Genomic DNA, 22,226 nt, shown 5'->3' with positions numbered 1-22,226 from the left:
CTTATCCTTGCAAAGGAGCCAAGAGAGATGGAAAAGACACAAGGCCCACAAGGTTCCTCAGGCCTTAGGGCTCGGTGCTGGGGTAGTGGGCAGGGAGCCAGACTGCTATGATCCAGACAGCAGCAGACACAGGGGGCTGCAAGAGAGGCAAACTCCCAGCCAGAGGAGTTCTGAGCCTGTTCTGAGGCGAAGGGGGAAGGGCTGAACACCCTCGTCTGTGAGAAAGGCAGCCAGCAGGGCAGAGGCTCGAGGCCAACTCACTGGACTGCTCTGGGGCACACACTCCAGATAGGAGCTGACTCCTGGGCTGAGGCTCAAACCCTAGCTCCTCCTCTTCCCTTCCCTGCATCTCCACAGACTTGGCTCCCTCAACAAGGACTGAGTGCGCACACGCTGTCTGCTCAGCCAGGATCGAGGCACCATTGGAGAACTGAACCCACAGACCCCAAAAGTGGACACACCCAAAATGCCCGGCAACTGATAAATGGAGAAACAGAATGCAGTATATGCACCCGTGGAATATTCATCAGCTATAAAAAAGAATAAAGTGCTGCTACCTGACACAACACAGATGACCGTTGAACACATTATGAAGTAAAAGAAGGCAGACACCAAAAAACACATCCTACATGATTCATCTATGTGAAATGTTCAGAGGCCAATCCAGAGAAAACGGGTGAGCAGACACCAGGGACTGGGGAAGAGGAGGGCAACAAGAGTGACTGCTCATGGGTCCAGGGTTTTGTTTTGGGGTGGTGAAATGTTCCTAAATTGATTGTAGTGATGGCTGCACAACTCTGTGACTATACCGAAAACCAATAAATTATACACACTAAATGAGTGAATTATGTCTCAAAAAAGCCGTTTTTAAAAGAAATCCCTACCCTACTGAATGACAGAAAGAGGGAGCAGGACAGTAAGCAAAATAGTTTTGTAAAGCAAGTTTCAGTGCCTTGGGGAAAAATAAAGTAGGGAAGAAAGATGGCACAAGGCAGGAGTCTCCAAGGATGCACAGAGATGGCTTTACTCAGGACAAAGACCTGAAGGAGGCAGGCAGCTACCTGGGGGAAGAGTGCTCCAGGCAGCAATGCCGGGAGACTCCTGTTCACAAGGGCCTGGTAGAAGAGGGCCCAGCTGACAGCAATGAGCTCTAAGCAGCTGCGAGTGCTGCGAGAAGGGAAATCCCCATCCTTCTTGGCCCATGGAACTCAAGTGTGGCCAGAGTGTCAGGATCTACCAACGCTGATTCAGGAGCCAGTCAGTGTGCCAGGCCCATAGCAGGGGCTGTAAAAACATTCGCTGAATGATGAACGCACTTTGTCCCCAGCCCCACTAGTACCCTGAGGCCCCTGTTACCTTTCCAGCCCAGTTTGATGTTCCACTCATAGAAGAAAATCAGCTTTCCTTTGCGGCTGCTGCACGAAGCCTCCCCTTCCACCTGCTTCAACTCGTTGATCTCGCCGCGGCCAGCGTCATTCTCCACAACGATGCCCACCAGGAGCTCCTGGAACTTCCCTTTGGACAAGCTGGTGGCATCCCGCTCTGTCCTGCCAGGGACCAGAAAGTCGTGAATGGAAGCCCCAGCTGGGATCCACCTGCCTGGGTGCCAGGGTCACGTCCAAGCCCAGCCCAGATCGGCCCAAGTCCTCTCAAGCAGCCTCGAAACCTGCCAACCTCCAATGTGCTCCTCAAACCTGCTTTCTATCAAATTCTTTTCATCCTGCTCAGTTCTTTAAGATATTATTGTCCACTATGCAAGTAGTATTCTGTCTTAAAAACACTGGCTTATTTAAGGGAGGAGGATCTAGCTAGCTCGCCCACTGGAAATAGGCAAAGCCTAGGCCACAGGGAAAGTAGCAGTAGTGAACTAATCAGAATCATGACAATACCAGCTATCAAGTGTCTTCGCATATACATCGTCTAATGTAATCTTCCCAGGCAATATTCTCACTTTAGGGGACAGAAACGAGCTGAGAGAAATGACATGTCCATCGGGCCAAGGCTAGGACACTAGAAAGTCAGATCTAGCTCACGCCTGTAATCCCAGCACTTTAGTAGGCCCAGGCGGGCGGATCACGAGATCTGGAGTTCGAGAGCAGCCTGACCAACATGGTGAAACCCTGTCTCTACTAAAAATACAAACATCAGACGGACGTAGTGGCACGCATCTGTAGTCCCAGCTACTCATGAGGCTGAAGCAGGAGACTCGCTTGAACTCTGGAAGCTGAGGTTGCAGCGAGCCAAGATTGCCCATGCCCTCAGAGCTCCTCCGGACCAGCCAAGTCATGCTCCTCTGGGGACCGGCCTCAGCATCCCCTCGACGGCCTGGAGGGACCACAGCCCCGGCCAGAGGCGCAGGGCAGAGGACATCCCTTCCGGAGGTTCTGCGGCGGAGGGCTGCCGACCTCTCCCCACGCGCCAGGTGAGGCGCGTAAAGGAAGGGGAGCTTGTCTCACTCACAGAGGGCCCGGCTCGCGGGAGGCGCCTGCGGGGTGGGCGCGAACTGAGATCCAAATTTCTGCCCTTTCCACTACGTTCCATACCCCCGCCCCTAACACAGTCTCTCAATCCAGCTCCCTTCTAACTCCCCGAAACATCCAGAGGGGTGGGCGGGAGGAGAAGGGAAGGCCCTCAGGCCACAGACGGTGGGAGTGGAAAGGTCTGTCGGAAGTCACTCTTGGGGCCCAACCCAACTTTCAAAAAGAGGCAGCTGCAACCCTCCTAGCCGGTCTCCGTACTCAAGGACTCTCCCGAGCCGAGAGGCGAAGGCCGAGCCCTGCGTCCAGCAGCTGAGGGGGGGCGGCCCCCTGACCCCCTGGCCCCGCGGCCCCGCACAGACCCCAGGGCAGCCCCGGCTCCCGCGGCCCGGCCCTCCCCAGATCCCGGAAGGAGGCCGCCGCCAGCCGCGCCAGCGCCAGTTGTTCACGTTGGTCCCGTCCTCCCGCTCCTCCACGATCCAGTGGGGGTTCCCCTGGCCCCACTTGGCCATGGCGGCGTGGACTGGGCGGAAAACAAGGAAAGGCCGCGGCGCCTAAGGCTCCGAAGCCAGCGTTTCCGGCCGCCGAGCCCCGGGGCGGCGCGTTCGCAGCTCCCAGAAACTGCCAGAAGGCCCCGCCCCCGGCCCCGCCCCGCCCTGCCGCGGCGCGCCCGGGAGCCCCAGCCGGGATCTGGGAGGCGGGTCGCGCGGGGACGCGGGGACGCGGGGACGCGCGGGCGGGGAGGGGCTGGGGCCGCCGGGGTTCCGCTGCGCGTCTCCTAACGCTAGGGCGGGACGGGGCTGTCTGGGCCGCCTGCGAAGGGCGGAGGGCGCTGCAAGTCCCGCGGTGCTGGCGGGCTCGTGATTCCCGGCGCCGGGAAGCAGGGCGCTGAGTAGCGGGTGCCTGAGAGTCCAACCGGCAGTGTAGACGCGACACCGCCGTCAGGTGGCCTCGGCAGGCTCCCTATAGCTCTCGAGGACACGACCTCGAACGCCCAGGTCGCTGTAAGACCGGCCTTTGGGGCCACAGCGCGCACACGTCACACCGTTTGCGGATTTCGCCTAAGAGCGAGTCCGCGCCCAGTTGCCGCGCTGCGGTTTTTTCCGCGACGCAGTCTCTCGCCCTCCCCCCTTCCCGGCACCTTTCCAACTAGTCCCATGTTACTGCGGGAGTATTTCCATTTTATTCACGTAATAATCCTTTAGAGAGAACGAAAGAATGTGATTGCAAACGCATGTTACTGCAAACTGATGCACTTTATCATGGAGTATTAATGATTCCTTTCACGAATTTTCGGCTTCTAGCTAAAACTTTGCACGAACTATTTGGACAATGTTACTGGGGTGTTCTCTGCTAACTACATGGGTAGTTAGCACAGAAATGGGTAGAACAGTGAAAAGGTGGAAGCATCTGACTGTTCTCTTCCCCTGTGCCGACCTGTCCTTTGCCTGCGGTCATCCACGAAATACACTCACGAGTGGAGACATTTTCTCCATTTGCCTACCGGAGCTACCACCTTCCAACATTATCTTCCAGAAAGCTACAACAGTCATGTAAACACACTGCTTAAAGGCGTTTTGACCTCAAAACAAAAAGACGTTTTGATTTCACCTTTCACACTTCACTAAAGCAGCTATAACAGAGTCACATGAAGGAGCAGCGTGGTGGGGTTGCCTGATCTTAAGAAGCCTCATTTCCGCTGCTAAGGAGCTTGCACTTGGCCATACAGGCAATGGGCAACCACTGAGGCAACCTAAATGGAGAAATGACACGATCAGATGTGTTCTAGAACAATCAGTCTTGGCCGGGCGCGGTGGCTCACGCCTGTAATCCCAACACTTTGGGAGGCCGAGGCGGGCGCATCACGAGGTCAGGAGATCGAGACTATCATGGCTAACACGGTGAAACCCCGTCTCTACTAAAAATACAAAAAAAAAAACTAGCTGGGCGTGGTGGCGGGCGCTTGTAGTCCCAGCTACTCGGGAGGCTGAGGCAGGAGAATGGCGTGAACCCGGGAGGCGGAGCTTCCATTGAGCCGAGATCACGCCACTGCGCTCCAGCCTGGGCCACAGAGGGAGACTCCGTCTCAAAAAAAAAAAAAAAAAATCATTCTTACGGACTTTTGGACAATGGACCAGGGTAAGATGGAAACTGGAAGGAGGGGGACTTCTCAGGGTGGAGAAGGGGTGACAAATATTCAGGGATGAGAGGTGTTCAGAAGTGGAATGTAAATGCGTCAGACACTGGGGTGCAGCAGAGAAATACGTTTTGTTCAGCAACTGGGACTTGCAGGTTGGTTAGTAGCCGCACCCTCAGAGGCTAGAATGGAAAGAGGCTGGAATGAGGCTTGGGCTATAACTCTGGGAAAAATCAGCAGGTAAGAGGTAGGCAGGGAAGAGGGGGCCTGCAAAGAGCGACTAAGGAGGAGGAAGGCAACCACAAAGGCATTTAATCAGGGAGCCAGGGTGCACGGTAGAAGCAGTGGCCGTCATCAAGTGTGGAAAAGTATGAGTCGGATGATAAAGGTATATAAAGATATGTATTGGGTGTAACAACACAGAAGGTACTTGAGCCTTTTGCAGAGAGCAGTTTCAGTGAACGATGGGGCAGAAGCTGGGTCACGGGTAACGGGTGAATGGGAGGTGAGAGGGTGGAGACTGTGCTTTCAGAATGTTGGGCAAGGACAGGTAAGACAATTGGACAGTAATGAGATAGGTACATGGATGAAGGGAGTTTTTGCCTTTTCCCTTTAAATGCTTATGTCTGCTGGTGGGGATCAGCTGGCGACAAGAGGGACAAGTGGTTCAGCCAAGTCCCAGAAGCCATGGGAGGAGATGAGTCCAAAGGGTCAGCCTGCAATAGGAAGACGCAAAATAATGTTGGAACGTGGTAGCTCCGGTAGGCAAATGGAGAAAATACCTCCACTCGTGAGCGTATTTTGTGGATGACTGCAGGCAAAGGACAGGTTGGCACAGGGGAAGAGAACAGCCAGCTGCTTCCACCCTTTCACTGTCCTACCCATTTCTCTACTAAGATGAGAAAGATCAGAATGGATGTTTCTCTACCTGTCTTGGTTTTGACTGGTTTGATGTGGGAGAGGATGCAAGGGAGGTGGCAAGTTGGACAACTTCAGGTGGCAGCTTACCTGCAGCAAAGTGAGGGTGACAACACTGACAGGCTTTGGGGGAAGAAATGCAAAATCCTCTCAAGTATGTCCTTTCTCCCATAACCAACCTGTGCTGGGGTAGATCCAGATTATTTTCACCTTTTCTAAACAACTCCACCACACTTTCTCTGTCTCGAGAGAAAGGGGTTGAAAAATGTACATATCCAGGATTGCCATTTTTTTGTTTTTTTTGTGACAGAGTCTCACTCTGTTGCCCAGGCTGGAGTGCAGTGGCATGATCTCAGCTCACTGCAACCTCCGCCTCCCAGGTTCAAGCAATTCCCCTTCCTCAGCTTCCCAAGTAGCTGGAATTACAGGCGTGTGCCACCACACCTAATTTTTGTATTTTTAGTAGAGACAGGGTTTCACCATATCGGCCAGGCTGGTCTTGAATTCCTGAACTCAGATGATCCACCCGCCTTGGCCTCCCAAAGTGCTGGGATTATAGGCGTGAGCCACCGCACCCAGCCCAGGATTGACTCTTATTAGCAATGCACTAGAGAATCAGGAGTTGGATGCCAGTTTCACATCACAGTAGACCCATGAGCTGCTAAGGGTCTGCTTTTGAGGAAGTCACTATTCCATTTTCTTTTTATAATTTTGGTGCCTATCCCTTAGTTTGATTTAATTCCTTTAATATTTGTTGAGCTACCAGCATGCAAATGTCCCAAGCACACTGCCACCATAGCACATAGCACTGTGTGTAGCCTTTGCTCTCAAGCTTTGTTATCTTCACTGGCCTGCTCAACTTGAGGGCAAACACGCTTCCTCCTCTTTATCCCGATGCCAGAGCTGTGCCCAGCACATAGTGGGCACCAAGGAAATATTTGTTTAGATGACTGGGTGAATGATGGAATGAATATTTCTCAAACTTGTGTGTTCCAGCTTATTAATAGGCTCTTAATGGGCTATAAAATTAATTTTAGCAGAGGTAAAATTTTACAGGAGGTACCAACCATCATTTTTATCTGAATGAAATAGAATAGAATTGAGTTTAAATGATCAGAGTGGTTACATATAGTAAAGGTAAATATTGTTTCTTAAATCATTGGGGGCTGTGTGTGTGTGTGGTGATGTATTATGCTTAGACTATGTTTGTTTGTTTTTTAAGTTTGAAAGCCACTGCTGTAGCAGATCCAAAGATAAGTACAATAGCTTACAACTAACAGTTCTTCTGTTTTGCACGTTGTAGAATCTCTCGTGCCCAGCACATAGCAGATCTCAATAAATATTTGTGAAATACGTTAGTTCATAAGACTGGATGAAGTCATTTGTTGGTGGAATATGAAAGAAGAACTGGGCCTTGATGGATGAATGGAATTTCAACAGGTAGAGAGATGGGAGAGTTCCTTCCAGACCAAAGAAGAATCACATCAGCAAAGATGTGCAAGTTAGGAATGAGTGGAAAGTAGGATGGGCACAAAGCAGAATGGGTGAGAAGACAAAAGTGAGGACATTTTGAGGGGCGAGTGAAAGCCACCATGAAGTCTTTTTATACCATCAGTGAAGAAATGTGTGCTGAGTTGTGTGTCCTCTAGCAGCAGTGGCCCACACCGGCCGCCCACACTGGCAGGCTCTGAAGCCCTGTGCTTCGATCCAAGTCTTGGCTCTGCTACTTACCAGATGAGTGACCTTAGGCAAGTTCCTTAATCTCTGTGTACTTCATTGTTTCTAAAACTGAAATAGTGTTACCATCTATCTGCATTAGGATTAGATTCCACTGCTAGTAACTGTGGGAGACCAAAATTTGAAGGATTGTTGAGCTGAAGACAGTTAAGAAGCCAGCCGGGCACGGATGGATCTTTGCATGGATCTTTGCAAGGTCTTCCTAATGGCCTCTCTGTCCCTGCTAGTCTCTTTCTCCTCTAGTCCAGCCTCCATTACCTCCATGCAAGCACTCTGATATAACTGCTTGCTCTGCTTAACATTCATCAGTGGCTCCCCACACCCACCCCCTTAGCAAGGCTGCACACTGAAGGTCTGGTCCAGCCTGCCTTTCCAGCCCATCTTGCATTGCACCATTGCTTGCACTCTGCACAGCAGTCTACCTGGGCTCTCCAGTACACCCGTGCATTTACACTTTCAGGATGCTTTGCCTGGTGGGCCCTTTCCACCCAAGCCTCCAGTACCAAGTCTTTTAGTTTCTTCCTCTGCAAAACTTCCTTGTTGTCTCCTTCACCACTCAGAGAGTCCCCTCTGTCAGTAAATTATATCATAGACTTTTTAAAGAGTCAGGATCTCACTCTGTCACCCAGGTTGGAGTGCAGTGGTGTGATCACAGCTCACTTCAGCCTCTTACTCCTGGGCTCAAGTGATCCTCCTGCCCCAGCCTCCTGAGTCACTGGGATTTTAGGTGTGAGCCACTGCACAAGGCACAGACATTTTAATAGCTCTGAAACCAGGGGGCACCTTCACTTGGCAGTTTCTTAAAACTGCTCTTCACCTCTGCTGAAGTCAAGTACTGCGCAAGAGGACTGATGTTTGCTTTCCCCATCACCTGGGGCAGTACCAAACTGAGTCTCTGTGGCAGGCAGCCTCTAAGATGACCCTCACCTATCCCTCCCTCTTGGTATTTGTGCCCTTCTGTAATCCCCTCCCCTTGAGTGTAGGCTGGACCTGGTGACTTGTTTCCGATGCACAGAATACAGCAAAAGTGATGAGATGTTCCTTACAGGATTAGGTTACCAAAAGACTGTGTTGTGTTTTTTTTTTGTTTTTTTTTGAGACGGAGTCCCGCTCTGTCACCAGGCTGGAGTGCAGTGGCACGATTTCAGCTCACTGCAACCTCCACCTCCCAGGTTCAAGCGATTCTCCTGCCTCAGCCTCCCGAGTAGCTGGGATTACAGGCACACGCCACTATGCCCGGCTAATTTTTGTATTTTTAGTAGAGATGAGGTTTCACCATGTTGGCCAGGACGGTCTCGATCTCCTGACCTTGTGATCTGCCCACCTCAGCCTCCCAAAGTGCTGGAATTACAAGCATGAGCCATCGTGCCCGGCCTTTTTTTTTTTTTTTTTAATTGAGACGGAGTCTTGCTCTGTCAACCAGGCTGGGGTGCAGTGGCACGATCTCGGCTCACTGCAACCTCCGCCTCCTGGGTTCAAGTGATTCTCCTGCCTCAGCCTCCCGAGTAGCTGGGATTACAGGTGCCTGCCACCACGCCAAGCTGATTTTTATATTTTTAGTAGAGATGGGGTTTCACCGTGTTGGCCAGGCTGGTCTCAAATTCCTGACCTCAGGTGATCCGCCCACCTCAGCATCACAAAGTGCTGGGATTACAGTCGTGAGCAACCGCGCCCGGCCAAAACTCCCCATCTTCTTGCTGGTGGGTTGCCTACCTCTCTCTCTCCCTCTTTCCCTCTTCCTCTTTCTCTTTTCCTGAGCCTCACTTGGAGGAAACAAGCAAGTTTACGCATGAGTTAAGTTTTGCAAGTTTATCACAGGGTACATTCTAGCCAGTGGCATGCAGAATGGAAAGGTGCATATACTTTCAATTTTGACAGAAACTGCCCAGTTATCCTCCAGAAAGATTTACCAATTGACACAGTTGACCCCTATACAACATGGGAGGTTTAGGGGCACTGACTCCCCTACATGGTCAGAAATTTGTGTATAACTTTTGGCTTCCCCAAAACTTAACTATTACTAGCCTACTGTTGGCTGGAAGCCTTATCTAGAAGAGTTGATTAACATATATTTTGTATATTATGTATATTAAATTTACCATATTCTTTTTTTTTTTTTGAGACAGATCTCACTCTGTCGCCCAGGCTGGAGTGCAGTGGCACAATCTCGGCTCATTGCAAGCTCCGCCACCTGGGTTCACGCCATTCTCCTGCCTCAGCCTCCCGAGTAGCTGGGACTACAGGCGCCTGCCACCATGCCCGGCTAATTTTTTGTATTTTTTAGTAGAGACGGGGTTTCACTATGTTAGCCAGGATGGTCTCGATCTCCTGACCTCGTGATCCGCCCGCCTCGGCCTCCCAAAGTGCTGGGATTACAGATGTGAGCCACCGTGCCCGGCCTTAAATTTACCATATTCTTGCAATAAAGTAAGCTAGAGAAAAGAAAGTATTATTAAGAAAATCATAACGAAGGCTGGGCATGGTGGCTCACATCTGTAATCCCAGCACGTTGGGAGACCAAGGCAGGCGGATCACCTGAGGTCAGGAGTTCAAGACCACCCTGGCCAACATGATGAAACCCCACTTCTACAAAAATACAAAAATTAGCCGGGCATTATAGCAGGTACCTGTAATCCCAGCTACTTGGGAGGCTGAAGCAAGACAATCGCTTTAACCCGGGAGGCAGAGGTTGCAGTGAGTTGAGATCATGCCACTGCACTCCAGCCTGGGCGACAGAGTGAGACTCTGTCTCAAAAAAAAGAAAAAAATATTATAAGGAAGAGATAATATATTTACTGTTCATTAAGGGGAAGTGGATCACCATAAAGTTCTTCATTCTGATAGTCATCATGCTGAGTAGGCTAAGGAGGAGGAAGAGGAGGGCTTGGTCTTACTGTCTCAGGGGTGGCAGAGGCGGAAGAGGTGGAGGAGGTAGAAGGGGAGGCAGGAGAGGCAGGCGCACACTCAGTAACTTTTACTGAAAAAAATCTGCATATAAGTGGGCCCATGTTGTTCAAGGGTCAGTTACTTTTGTCTAATGAGAATTCTTTTCCTCCTCCTCTTTAACCCTTCACCAGTATCAGCCACCTTTCTAACATTTGACAGTCTGATAGATTAAAAAAATCAATATAATTTTTTTATAAATAAGATACTTATTGTTTTACTTTAGATTATTTTTATGAAGTCAGGTGAGCATCTAAAATTTTTTTGGCCATTTATTTTTCTGCCTATACATATTATCTCTGCCAATTTAAAACTAGGTGATTCATATTTTCTTATTCCTATGGATGAAATAATTTCTTATGTATCTGAATGTTCTTAATCATTTCTTTATAACGAAATCAACCTTTGGTCATAAATTAAAAAAAAAAAAACGTTTCCCAGCATAACAATCACCAAAGTCAATAATGCTGGAGCCTGTGTTTGGTGGAATCATGATAAATAGGGGATTGAGCAGTAAGTAAGTTGAGCATAATGGAAGCCAGATTTCTCATTATTAGACAAGGGGGTTACAAATATGGAGTGAGTAAAGCTAGAATAGGACCTACTGGATTGGAATTGGAGGTGCTGGTATGAGCTCATTGTCATGTATAAGGATAGATAGCTACAGAAATGGATACTGTGGTCTACAACTTTTTTGAAACTTTCCCCTTCAAAAGGTATAATCTCTTTGCCCTTGAACATAGGCTGGACTTAGTGACTTGCTTCTCACCAACCAGAACACGATGGAAGGGATGCATCTATATACATGTTCTTCTATACATACATATTTAATATATATATTAAATTGGGACACTGGTAAATTTTGAATGGGGACTGTAGATTAGATAGTGGTAATAGTGAATCGATCTTAAATGATGGTTGACCTGCAGTTATCTGGGAGAATGTTGCAGAATTTCAGAAATATGTGTTGAGGCAAATGATACATAATGTTTGCATCTCACTCTTAAATGCTTTAAAATGTGAATATGTATATATCGAGAGAGAAAATGGTAAGACCATTGTGGTAAACTGTTAACTGAGGAATCTGAGTGAAGTTCTTTGTACTACTCTTGCAGCCCTTCTATAAATCTGAAATTATTTCAATGTAAAAGTTGTTTTAGGCCGGGCACGGTGGCTCACGCCTGTAATCCCAGCACTTTGGGAGGCTGAGGCGGGCAGATCATGAGGTCAGGAGATCAAGACCATCCTGGCTAACAGGGTGAAACCCCATCTCTACTAAAAATGCAAAAATTAGCCGGGCTTGGTGGCAGGCGCCTGTAGTCCCAGCTACTCAGGAGGCTGAGGCAGGAGAATGGCGTGAACCTGGGAGGTGAAGCTTGCAGTGAGCTGAGATCGTGCCACTGCACTCCAGCCTGGGTGACAGAGTGAGACTCCTCAAAAAAAAGTTGTTTTAAAAATAGGCCTTCCGGCTGGGCGCGGTGGCTCACGCCTGTAATCCCAGCACTTTGGGAGGTCGAGGCGGGCGGATCACGAGGTCAGGAGATCGAGACCATCCTGGCTAACACGGTGAAACCCCGTCTCTACTAAAAATACAAAAAAAATTAGCCGGGCGTGGTAGCGGGTGCCTGTAGTCCCAGCTACTCGGGAGGCTGAGGCAGGACAATGGCATGAACCCGGGAGGCGGAGCTTGCAGTGAGCCAAGATAGCGCCACTGCAGTCCAGCCTGGGCGAAAGAGCGACACTCCGTCTCAAAAAAAAAAATAAATAAATAAATAAATAAATAAATAGGCCTTCCTAGTTTACTGTTGGGGTTTGGACTGTGTGTGTGTGTGTGTGTGTGTGTGTGTGTGTGTGTGTGTTTTTTTTTTTTTTTCTTAACAACAAAAAAGAATTTTTAAGTAGTCCAAGCTTTATCAAGCTTTTCCCTTTTGGCTTTTGGGTGATGTGTCCTGTTTGAGGTAGTCATTTGAAGAAAGTCCCTGGACCAACAGCTAATTAAAGAGGTAAAGTGGCAAGTTTGATCCCACCTTTGCAAGTGAAACACCAACAGGCATTGAGAAAAAACTGCTCAACTTTTTCTCTGGAGCCATAGCTTAGGAGATAGACACATGGAGCCCTACAGCTTCACTGTCCGTGGAGCATCTTCAGTTGAATCTGTAGTCAGTACTTCAAATTTAACAGAGCTAAAAGTTGCCTAATCTTTTTTTTTTTTTTTTTTTTGGAGACAGAGTCTCGCCCTGTCACCCAGGCTGGAGTGCAATGGCACGATCTCAGCTCACTGCAACCTCCACCTCCCAGGTTCAAGTGATTCTCCTGCCTCAGCCTCCCGAGTAGCTGGGATTACAGGCACATGCCACCACGCCTGGCTAAATTTTTTTGTATCTTTAGTTGAGACGGGGTTTCAACATGTTGGCCAGGCTGGTCTCAAACTCCTGACCTCGTGATCCGCCCACCTCGGCCTCCCAAAGTGTTAGGATTACAGGCGTGAGTCACCGCGCCCGGCCAACCTGCCTAATCTTTTTGCCCTAACTAGTTACTTCCCTGGACTCTCCTATTCCTGACTGTCTGGCAGGTATCCAAACTCAGGAGCCATCTTTGCACCCTCCTCTCGCTCCTCCCACATCTAACCAGGAAGTGATGTGCCTTAATCTTTCTTCATCTTCTCATTACATTCTGCCACCTTCTATTCCAGGTCCACATCCTTCAAATCTGAATCATCACTGGAGCCATCTCCATTTACCACCTCCTAGTTGCTAATCCTCAATAACTTACTCCTGGAGGAAAGCTCTCATGGACTTCTTCCATTATTGCCTAAGATTATGTATATTATAGTGTCACTTAAAAACATGTAGAAACGCAAAGACGGATATCAACTCCCTAACCTAAAAGCTTTCATCTAACTTTAAAACTAAAAGAAATTTACAGGCCAGGTGCGGTGGCTCACGCCTGTAATCCCAGCACTTTGGGAGGCCAAGGCTGGCAGATCACGAGGTCAGGAGATCGAGACCATCCTGGCTAACACAGTGAAACCCCATCGCTACTAAAAATACAAAAAATTAGCTGGTCATGGTGGCGGGCGCCTGTAGTCCCAGCTACTCGGGAGGCTTAGGCAGGAGAATGGTGTGAACCCGGCAGGCGGAGCTTGCAGTGTGCTGAGATCGCGCCACTGCACTCCAGCCTGGGTGACAGCGAGACTCCGTCTCAAAATAAAAAAAAAAAAAGAAAGAAAAGAAATTTACAAATCAAATACAAAAAAGCACAGAACCAATAAAAGTCAAATGGACGTTTAGTGCCAGAAGCTCTTTGTTGACTGTGCTGCTGTTCACGTTACAGTCGTGATCCGGATGGCTTTCTGGAATTCCATGTGCCTATATGGTTATAGGTATTGATGGCCAATTTTCCCATCATTTTCCTGTATTGGAACTTCTACAAAACTGTGGTGACAATTGTACTGCAATGTGAATGTACTTAAAACACTATTGAACTGTACACTTAAAAATGGCTAAGATGAAGCCTGGCATGGTGGCTCACACCTGTAATCCCAGCACTTTGGGAGGCCACGGTGGGTGGATTTCTTGAGCTCAGGAGTTCGAGACCAGCCTGGGCAACATGGTGAAATCCCGTCTCAACAAAAAATACGAAAGTTAGCTGGGCATGGTGGCATGTGCCTGTAGTCCTAGTTCCTCTGGTGACTGAGGTGGGAGGATTGCTTAAGCCCCGGAGGTCAAGGCTGCAATGAGCCCTGATCGCACCACTGCACTCCAGCCTAGGCAACAGAGTGAGACCCTGTCTCAAAAAATAAAATAAAATAAATGGTTAAGGTGGCAAGTTTTATGTCATATATCTTTTACCAAAATGAAAATTTTTTAAAATTTAGTATTATCATCAGGTGAACGATAAAAAATTTAAAGAGACTCTGAATATATCCGCAGGCACCTTCCCCCAACAGTCCACATAGCTTGGATCCATTTCCCACTTTATACCCTTAGCCTGGGATCCTAAGTGAACCTCACTTTGACTTCTCACCACACTTCACTGTTGCCTCTCAACTCTCCTCTACACCCACATTCAGCGACAGCCAACTGGTGTGAACCAAACCCAATACACATCCTCACCTCTTTGCCTTGACTCATGTTCTTCCCCAGCTGCTTGTCTTATCTATCTAATCCTTCCATTTGTCTAAGTTCCTTTTCCTCCTCTCAGTGGGATGGTCCCAGCCCACAGCGACATGCCTCCCAGCAGAGGGTGTCAGTACACCCCATTTGGCAATAGTTCTACATTCTAAAATATTTTATCACTTATACTCCCAATCATTCCACAGACATTTATGGAACATCCACATGACAATGGGCGAGGCCTCTGAATCAAATGAATCTGCTTTTTCTCTCAGAGCCCCTTAGACATGTCACAAATGTATACTGCAGCTGTGTGGATGATGTCGTAGCAGTCTGTACTGTCATATTCCACACATGGACAGCAAGTTTTAAACCACTGAAATCAAGAATAGTATAATCTCAGAACTTGCATAAAGTAATAGGATGTTTTGTTGTTGGTAGTAGTTTGTGTTTTTGTTTTTTTTGAGATGGAGTCTCCCTCTGTCACCCAGGCTGGAGTGCAGTAGTGCAATCTCAGCTCATTGCAACCTCTGCCTCCCAGGTTCAAGCAATTCCCCTGCCTCAGCCTCCTGAGTAGCTAGGATTACAGGAGTGCGACACCACACCCCACTAATTTTTTTGTATTTTTAGTAGAGATGGGGTTTCACCATTTTGGCCAGGCTGGGTCTCGAACTCCTGGCCTCAGGTGATCTGCCCGCCTCAGCCACCCAAAGTGCTGGGATTACAGGTGTGAGCCACCACGTTGGGCCTGTTTTTCCCTAGTAGCTGGGACTAAAGGCATGCACCACCATGTCAGGCTTATTTTATTTTTATTTTTTGTGGAGACAGAGTTCCCTATATTGCCCAGGCTGTTGTAGTTTGTTTTTTGTACCAATTTTTTTTTTGAGATGGGGTCTTGCTCTGTTGCCCAGGCTGGGGTGCAGTGGCACAATCTCAGCTTACTGCAGCCTCTGCCTCCCTGGTTCAAGCAATTCTCCCACCTCAGCCTCCCGAGTAGCTGGGATTACAGAGGCACGCCACCACGCCGGACTAATTTTTGTATTTTCAGTAGAGACAGGGTTTCACCACGTTGACCAGGCTGGTCTCGAACTCCTGACCTCAGGTGATCCACCCACCTCAGCCTCCCAAAGTGCTGGGATTACAGGCATGAGCCACCGTGCCCAGCCTGTACCAATTTTTAAGAAGCAGTGGTCAGTACAAGAAAGGTTTCAGGACTGAGTTCAATGGGGATTATGTAGTAGAAGACGACAGTTATGGAAGCTTCCGTGATGACAGCTGTAGTGTTATTTGGTCATGAATGCCTATGATCAGAGCATGCAGAACATGTATTATTTCAAAAAATCCCCCTTGAATATGATGTACCTAATAGGTATTTGTACAAACAAAAATCACTTTATTCACATGCCAGAACAGTGTTTGAGTAGATAGTTTTAAGGGCAATACAATCAATTTCTTGAACTCAGATTTGAATTTTTAAAAAATTATATTCAAGCTCTAAGTATTTTACTTACAGAATTTTGCACATGGCTCACTCCTTTCTGCACAAAGGTAAAATAATATCTTTATTTGCTTAATTCCCCATTGTTTTGTTGTTTCAACATGATTTTGTACCCTCAGTCTTTCAACGTTAGTCAAACGTTACATTTTCTTTCACTCTTACCCTTTTTTGAGCTTCATTTCCTCTCTTTATGTTCTCGAGTATAGCTTCGAGGTGTAGGGTATTCATTCCCAAGATCCACAACAATTACCTCCCTAGAAAATGTCACTCCTTTTAAAGGTCTTTTTTGGCTTTCAACAACTGAAGGAGTTCTAGTGACAGATGTGTGTATTTTCTGCAAACCATCATCCTGCAAGAGAATGGGACAAACAATATAAACAAATAATCAATTTATGACAAGCCCTGCTTTTAAAATTACAGGTTATATGTACACTTAACGAGAAACAGAAAAAGCATTTCTAAATGATATAGGAAAGTAGCAATAATCCATCATGATCACATTTTCACATTTTTATGGTTATAAAAGCACACACTGACATATTCAAATAACATTTGGTGACATGTAATTCTCTCCATGAAGTGGTCAAACCCAAGAGCCACCAGGACCATCATTCTGTCGTCAACCGGGCATGGCCATGGGGTGGGAGGGTATGTGAGTTGTTCGTGTCAGGGAATCGCAGACACAGAGCTCAAGAAGGACCCAGCTGTGTTGTGTGCTGTTGTAGGACCCTGGAGCTAGCACAGGGGGCTGCGGTCTGGGCCTGAGCTTGGCCACAGTGGAGAGGTAAACAATTCATCTCGTTTTCTCATTGGAAACAGGAGAGGGCTGGATCCCTAGATAGTCTCTTAACAGCTCTAAGATTCTAGGATTTTGAGAAAAACAAACTGAAGGGGAATTATTAAGAAAAACATAAATGTAAGAATGAAGACTAAGCAAGTTTCTAGACTTGGCATATGTAATGGTTTAGTAACACGAACTGATAAGCAACCAGAATGGCTTAAATGACTGTGGGCATTGGACTCATTCTACTTACAAACCTAAGTTATATGCAACTCCATCTCCTATTATTATTATTATTTATTATTATTATTATTTTTTTTTGAGATGGAGTCTCCCTCTGTCACCAGGCTGGAGTGCAGTGGCGATCTTGGCTCACTGCAACCTCTGACTCCCGGGTTCAAGCGATTCTCCTGCCTCAGCCTCCCAAGTAGCTGGGATTACAGGCGGGTGCCACCACGCCCAGCTAATTTTTGTATTTTTAGTAGAGACGGGGTTTCACCATGTTGGCCAGGCTGGTCTCGATGTGCCCTCGTGATCCGCCCTCCTTGGCCTCCCAAAATGCTGGGATTACAGGCGTGAGCCACCCGCCCGGTCCTCCATCTCCTATTATTATACCTAGCTGAGGAATGTACCTTATTTTCAATCAAACAAATTCTAAACTGCTCTTTGAGAGTAGAAAAACACATCACCTCTTCTTGACCAGTTTCTCCAGCATTCTCAGGCTCTTGCTTCTCATTTATTTGGTTCTCCTCTTCTGCCTCCATGTCCCTTCTGTTTTCTAAGGGTGTGGCCAACACTTCCTTACTCTGTCTCTGGACAAGAATGCCAGGCCTCATCGGCACATTCAAGTTCATGACTTGCATTAAGATCCTAGAAAATTAATCGGTAGAGTTTTAAACATTCATGCATCCTCATCCCCACTATCAAACACAAAATGGCCTCTGCCACATCCTGCACCACACTCGCCTTTCATGGTCCTCTGGATTGCTTGTCACCACTTTGGCAGCTGCACAGTCTACACCTCCGTTTGCATCTGTACAAGGCACTTTCTTTGTCTCTTTACCTTTCCTGCCTTGGAAACTGAAAACAAACAAGCCACAAATTCAGAAAAGGAAGAATGGCCCTGATTTTAAGGTGTGGTATAGAAACTTCACGTTTAAACAGGATATCAGCATTTCTAAAATGCTGAAATGGAAAAGTAGATAATTATGGTATCATTACTTGTTCTGTTTTAAATTGTTTTACATTATTTCTATACACATTTGCTAATGTGACTTGAAATCTGATCCCAATTATCAGCATGGATTTATACCATTTATATAAAAAAACCACCAATAAGAGGAGGATGCAAATGAGGCAAATTAGAAGGATGATGAAGAAAGTGATTGCTGTGGTTTCAAAGCTCATAGGTTTAGCTAGAAGACTCATCCACTCTCACAATCACAGACTGTCCAAATATTCTTTTCCAGCTCAATTTGAATGCAGTTCTCTTGTTCTTTAAGTTTTCTAGAAACAGAGGAATAAAAAGCTGTTTTCTTTGTTGTTCTTTTGGTCAGTTCAGCTTCATGAAAGATGCTCTGCTTGTTGCAGAGTTGACTCACACTGGCTAATTTCTCTCCATAACTGTGGTGGGGGCTGAGGTGGCCAGAGGGGAGACTGAGCTGGGACATGTGTGATCACGCAGCTCACCTCCCTCACCCCAAAAACTATCAGGACCCAGAGGAGAGAGGAATCGGAACAGCTGGAGCTGAGCCCAGCTCCCCATTCTTCTCTCGTCAGTGACATCATAGAATCATGGAGCCCTTGAGTTAGAGAGACCAGAGAGCCAGTCCAACCCAGTCCATCACCTGGAGGCTGGAGAACCACGAGGCTGTTGCCTGTTCGTCCCCCTCTTCTGAGAGGTCCAGGTTAGAGGCCATTTGAAACTGTCTTGACCATTCTTTGAGCAAGGATTTTCTCCCTACTCTCCAAACATCACCTTTCCTTTCCTAATCTGAGCCTGTTTCTTTTATTGCTTCTTTCACAGACCATGAACAATTGGTATACTTCCTTCTTATGAAATCCCTCTCTATAGCCCTGAGCTCAAGGCTTCACTGTGGAATTCTACCAAACATTTAACAAAGAACTAACACCAATCTTTCTCAAACCTTTCAAAAATTGAAGAGGGAACACTTACTAGTCATTCTATGGAGCTGGCATTACCCTGATACCAAAGCCACTACAAAAAAAGAAAGCTATAGACCAATATCCTTTATGAATATTGATGCACAAGTCTTCAACAAAGTACTAGGATACCAAATTCAGCAACATATTAAAAGGATTACACACCATGACCAAGTGGGACTTATTCCTGGAATGCAAAGATAGTTTAGTACACAAAAACCAACCAACGTAAAACATCACATTAACAGAATGAAGGTTAAAAATAAACATATTATCATCTCTACTGATGCAGAAAAAGCACTTGACAAAATTTAACACACTTTCATGCTAAAACCACTCAACAAATGAGAAATAGAAGTAAACTACCTCAACATAATAAAAGCCATATGTGAGAATCCTACAACTATCATCATATTCAATGGTGAGAAAATATTTGTAAATCACATAATCTGTTAATGGACTGATATCCAGAATATATGAAGAACTCCTACAACTCAACAACAACAAACCCAATTTTGAAACAGGCAAAGGATTTCAAGACATTTCTCCAAAGAAGATATACAAATGATCAATAAGCACATGAAAAAAATGTTCAACAACACTAATCATTAGGGAAGTGCAAATCAAAACCACAGTGTGTTACCACCTCATACCCAATAGGGGGGTTATTATTTTAGAAAGAAAAAAAAGTATTGGTGAGGATATGGAGAAATTGGAACCTTGTGCACTGTTGGTGGGAATGTAAAATGGTACAGTCACTGTAGAAAACAGTATAGCAGTTCCTCAGAAAATTAAGTAAAGAATTACTATATGATGCAGTAATTCCATTTCTGGGTGTATACACAAAGAATTGCAAGCAGGGATTCAAACAGATATTTGTACACCCTTGCTCATGGCAGAATTACTCAAAATACCAAAAGGTAGAAAAACCCAAAATGTCCATCGAAGGATGGATAGATAAAATGTGGTGGCTGGGCATGGTGGCTCACGCCTGTAATGCCAGCACTTTGGGAGGCTGAGGCGGGTGGATCACCTGAGGTCAGGAGTTCAAGACCAGCCTGGTCTCTACTAAAAATACAAAAACTAGCTGGGCGTGGTGGCGGACACCTGTAATCCTAGCTACTTGGGAGGCTGAGGCAGGAAAATCGCTTGAACCTGGGAGGCAGAGGTTACAGTGAGCCAAGATCGTGCCATTGCACTCCAGCCTGGGTGACAGAGTAGGACTCCATCTGAAAAAAAAAAAAAGTGGTATATACACTCAGTGGAATACTATTCAGCTTTAAAAGGAATGAAATTCCGGGCTGGGCGCAGTGGCTCATGCCTATTTAATCCCAGCACTTTGGGAGGCTGAGGCGGGTGGATCACCTGAGGGGAGTTCTAGACCAGCCTGGCCAACATGGTGAAACCCCATCTCTACTAAAAATACAAAAATTAGCCAGGCGTGGGGGCAGGTGCCCGTAATCCCAGCTACTTGGGGGGCCAAGGCAGGAGAATTGCTTGAACCCAGGAGGCGGAGGTCGCAGTCAGCCAAAATTGCACCATAGCACTCTCCAGCCTGGAGAACAAGAGCAGGACTTCATCTCAAAAAAAAAAAAGGAATGACATTCTGATACATGTTACAACTTGGAAGAATTTTGAAGGCATTATGCTAAGTAAAGTAAGCCAGACACAATAGGTCACATGTTGTATGATTCCACTTATATGAGGTACCTGAAATAGTCAAATTCATAGACACAGAAAGCAGAATCATGGTTAGCAGGTACTGCAGGGAGGAAGAAATGGGAAATCAGTGTTTAATGGCTGTAGAGTTTCAATTTAGAATTATGAAAAAGTTCTGGAGGCAGACAGTGGTGATGGTAGCACAATAATGTGAACATACTTAATACCACTGAACTGCACACTTAAAAATGGTTAAAATGGTAAATTTTATGTTATGTATATTTTATCACAGTTTTAAAAATTATTTATGGAACAAAGAAAAGGGAATTTGTCTGTAAAGTGGCCAGGTATACAGCAGGCATTGCAAAACCAAAACCACCAGCACATACAGATTTTATTTCAATCTCCACCCTTTGTTCAATTTGTTTCCCCACTGTGAATGTTCTACCCCTACCTCAGCCCTTTACCTGTCCCACCTCTCAATCCTTTTAAGACTTAGTTCTTGGCCTGGTGTGGCGGCTCATGCCTGTAATCCCAGCACTTTGGGAGGCCAAGGTGGGCGCATCATTTGAGGTCAGGAGTTTGAGACCAGCCTGGCCATCATGGCGAAACCCCGTCTCAACTAAAAATACAAAAATTAGCCAGCGTGGTGGTGCATACCTGTAATCCCAGCTACCTGGGAGGCTGAGGCAGGAGAATTGCTTGAACTGGGAAGGCAGAGGTTGCAGTGAGCTGAGATCGTGCCACTGCACTCCAGCCTAGGCAACAGAGCGAGACTCCATCTTGAAAAAAGAAAAAAAAAAAGGCTGGGTGTGGTGGCTCACGCCTGTAATCTCAGCACTTTGGGAGGCCAAGGCAGGAGGATCACAAGGTCAGGAGATTGAGGCCATCCTGGCTAACATGGTGAAACCCCATCTCTACTAAAAATACAAAAAATTAGCCGGGTGTGGTGGCACGCATCTGTAGTCCCAGCTACTTGGGAGGCTGAGGCAGGAGAACTGCTTGAACCCAGGAGGTGGAGGTTGCAGTGAGCTGAGATTGCACCACTGCACTCCAGCCTGGCGACAGAGTGAGACCCCGTCTCAAAACAAACAAACAAACAAACAAACAAACAAACAACAAAAAAAAACTTGGTTCTTGGATTCTCTTCCATTATGCAATCACCATCCATTGGGCTTCCTTTTGAAATCAGCCCAATTGTCCCATAAAACTAATATGTATAGTTTGCTGAATAAACACAGAAATGGACTCTCCCCTGGTCTTAAAACTTGAAACTATCTCATCAGAGTTTCTTCCTCAGGAAACTGACCTTCAGGCAAGGAACTGAAACCCATCAGATCACTACCTCCAGACAATGAGACACCAGACTCCCCATCCTGACTGCTTCCTTACCCCTCCCTACTTCCTGATTTTCCGCCTTCCCCACTATGTAAATCCCTCAATCTTAATCAACTGGGGAGACAGATTTGAGCCTTCATCTCCTGTTCACCTCAGCTGCACCACCAGATTAAAGCCTAAGCCTTCTTCCCTGGCAATACTCGTTGTCTCAGTGATTGGCTTTCTGAGCAGCCAGCAGCAAGACCTAGACAGAACCCCTGGTGTTTCAGTGACACTTCCAATCGTGCTTTTTCTGAGTTCTCACTTGATATAGAAAACACCTTGTCACTTATGTATATCCCAACCCCTTGCCCTATCCAGCTCCAGTCCCAGGCATGCTGGGAAGTGACAGGGTCTTTCATAGTCTTTGTAATTTCTCACCTCCTACCCCCAAGGTCTTTCATAGTCTTTGTAATTTTTC

At 46.8% G+C, this 22,226-nt stretch overlaps 1 protein-coding gene, 1 long non-coding RNA gene and 1 pseudogene across 17 annotated transcripts in view, besides 3 other annotated features; 1 reads left to right on the top strand and 2 right to left on the bottom strand.

The window, feature by feature from the left end:
• Nucleotides 1-36: part of an enhancer, noted in NCBI's record as "H3K27ac-H3K4me1 hESC enhancer chr2:61407627-61408205 (GRCh37/hg19 assembly coordinates)", that runs on past the window's edge. NCBI's record gives its function as "activates a minimal SCP1, AML or CMV promoter by ChIP-STARR-seq in primed H9 embryonic stem cells {active_cell/tissue: H9 hESC(primed)}" and the evidence as "EXISTENCE:reporter gene assay evidence [ECO:0000049][PMID:30033119]".
• The window catches only part of AHSA2P (activator of HSP90 ATPase homolog 2, pseudogene), an 11,508-nt pseudogene extending 8,398 nt beyond the window's left edge, over nucleotides 1-3,110 (bottom strand). For 5 of the 6 annotated variants that reach the window (NR_152210.1, NR_152213.1, NR_152216.1 and 2 more), the window contains exon 1: nucleotides 1,357-3,110. The product of NR_152210.1 is annotated as an activator of HSP90 ATPase homolog 2, pseudogene, transcript variant 7 (transcript). The remainder of the gene's footprint in view (nucleotides 1-1,356) is intronic. The other variant, NR_152211.1, reaches the window with a different exon arrangement.
• The window catches only part of C2orf74-AS1 (C2orf74 antisense RNA 1), a 26,853-nt gene continuing 6,869 nt past the window's right edge, over nucleotides 2,243-22,226 (top strand). For 2 of the 5 annotated variants that reach the window (NR_183874.1, NR_183875.1), the window contains exon 1: nucleotides 18,417-18,513. This is a non-coding gene — a long non-coding RNA (C2orf74 antisense RNA 1). Of the gene's footprint in view, nucleotides 2,423-18,416; nucleotides 18,514-18,632; nucleotides 19,191-22,226 lie in introns of those variants that run through there. The other 3 variants (NR_183877.1, NR_183878.1, NR_183879.1) reach the window with 3 other exon arrangements.
• Nucleotides 2,788-3,337: a silencer, noted in NCBI's record as "silent region_11525". NCBI's record gives its function as "represses an Ori minimal core promoter by ATAC-STARR-seq in GM12878 lymphoblastoid cells {active_cell/tissue: GM12878}" and the evidence as "EXISTENCE:reporter gene assay evidence [ECO:0000049][PMID:35858748]".
• Nucleotides 11,721-12,222: an enhancer, noted in NCBI's record as "H3K4me1 hESC enhancer chr2:61395441-61395942 (GRCh37/hg19 assembly coordinates)". NCBI's record gives its function as "activates a minimal SCP1, AML or CMV promoter by ChIP-STARR-seq in primed H9 embryonic stem cells {active_cell/tissue: H9 hESC(primed)}" and the evidence as "EXISTENCE:reporter gene assay evidence [ECO:0000049][PMID:30033119]".
• C2orf74 (chromosome 2 open reading frame 74) overlaps nucleotides 15,700-22,226 on the bottom strand; it is a 19,713-nt gene continuing 13,186 nt past the window's right edge. For 2 of the 6 annotated variants that reach the window (NM_001367070.1, NM_001367071.1), the window contains 4 exons: nucleotides 21,089-21,210; nucleotides 17,573-17,686; nucleotides 17,296-17,476; nucleotides 15,700-16,174 (listed from right to left, as the gene is read on the bottom strand). In NM_001367070.1, the coding sequence (NP_001353999.1) occupies nucleotides 16,001-16,174; nucleotides 17,296-17,469 (348 nt within the window). In that variant the 5' untranslated portion in view covers nucleotides 17,470-17,476; nucleotides 17,573-17,686; nucleotides 21,089-21,210 and the 3' untranslated portion in view covers nucleotides 15,700-16,000. Of the gene's footprint in view, nucleotides 16,175-17,295; nucleotides 17,477-17,572; nucleotides 17,687-17,918; nucleotides 18,113-18,207; nucleotides 18,341-21,088; nucleotides 21,211-22,226 lie in introns of those variants that run through there. The other 4 variants (NM_001367069.1, NM_001143960.3, NM_001143959.4 and 1 more) reach the window with 3 other exon arrangements.

This window comes from Homo sapiens, chromosome 2 (assembly GCF_000001405.40).
Source record: "Homo sapiens chromosome 2, GRCh38.p14 Primary Assembly".
Lineage (NCBI taxonomy): Eukaryota > Metazoa > Chordata > Mammalia > Primates > Hominidae > Homo > Homo sapiens.
This window is presented reverse-complemented; position numbering and strand designations above follow the sequence as displayed.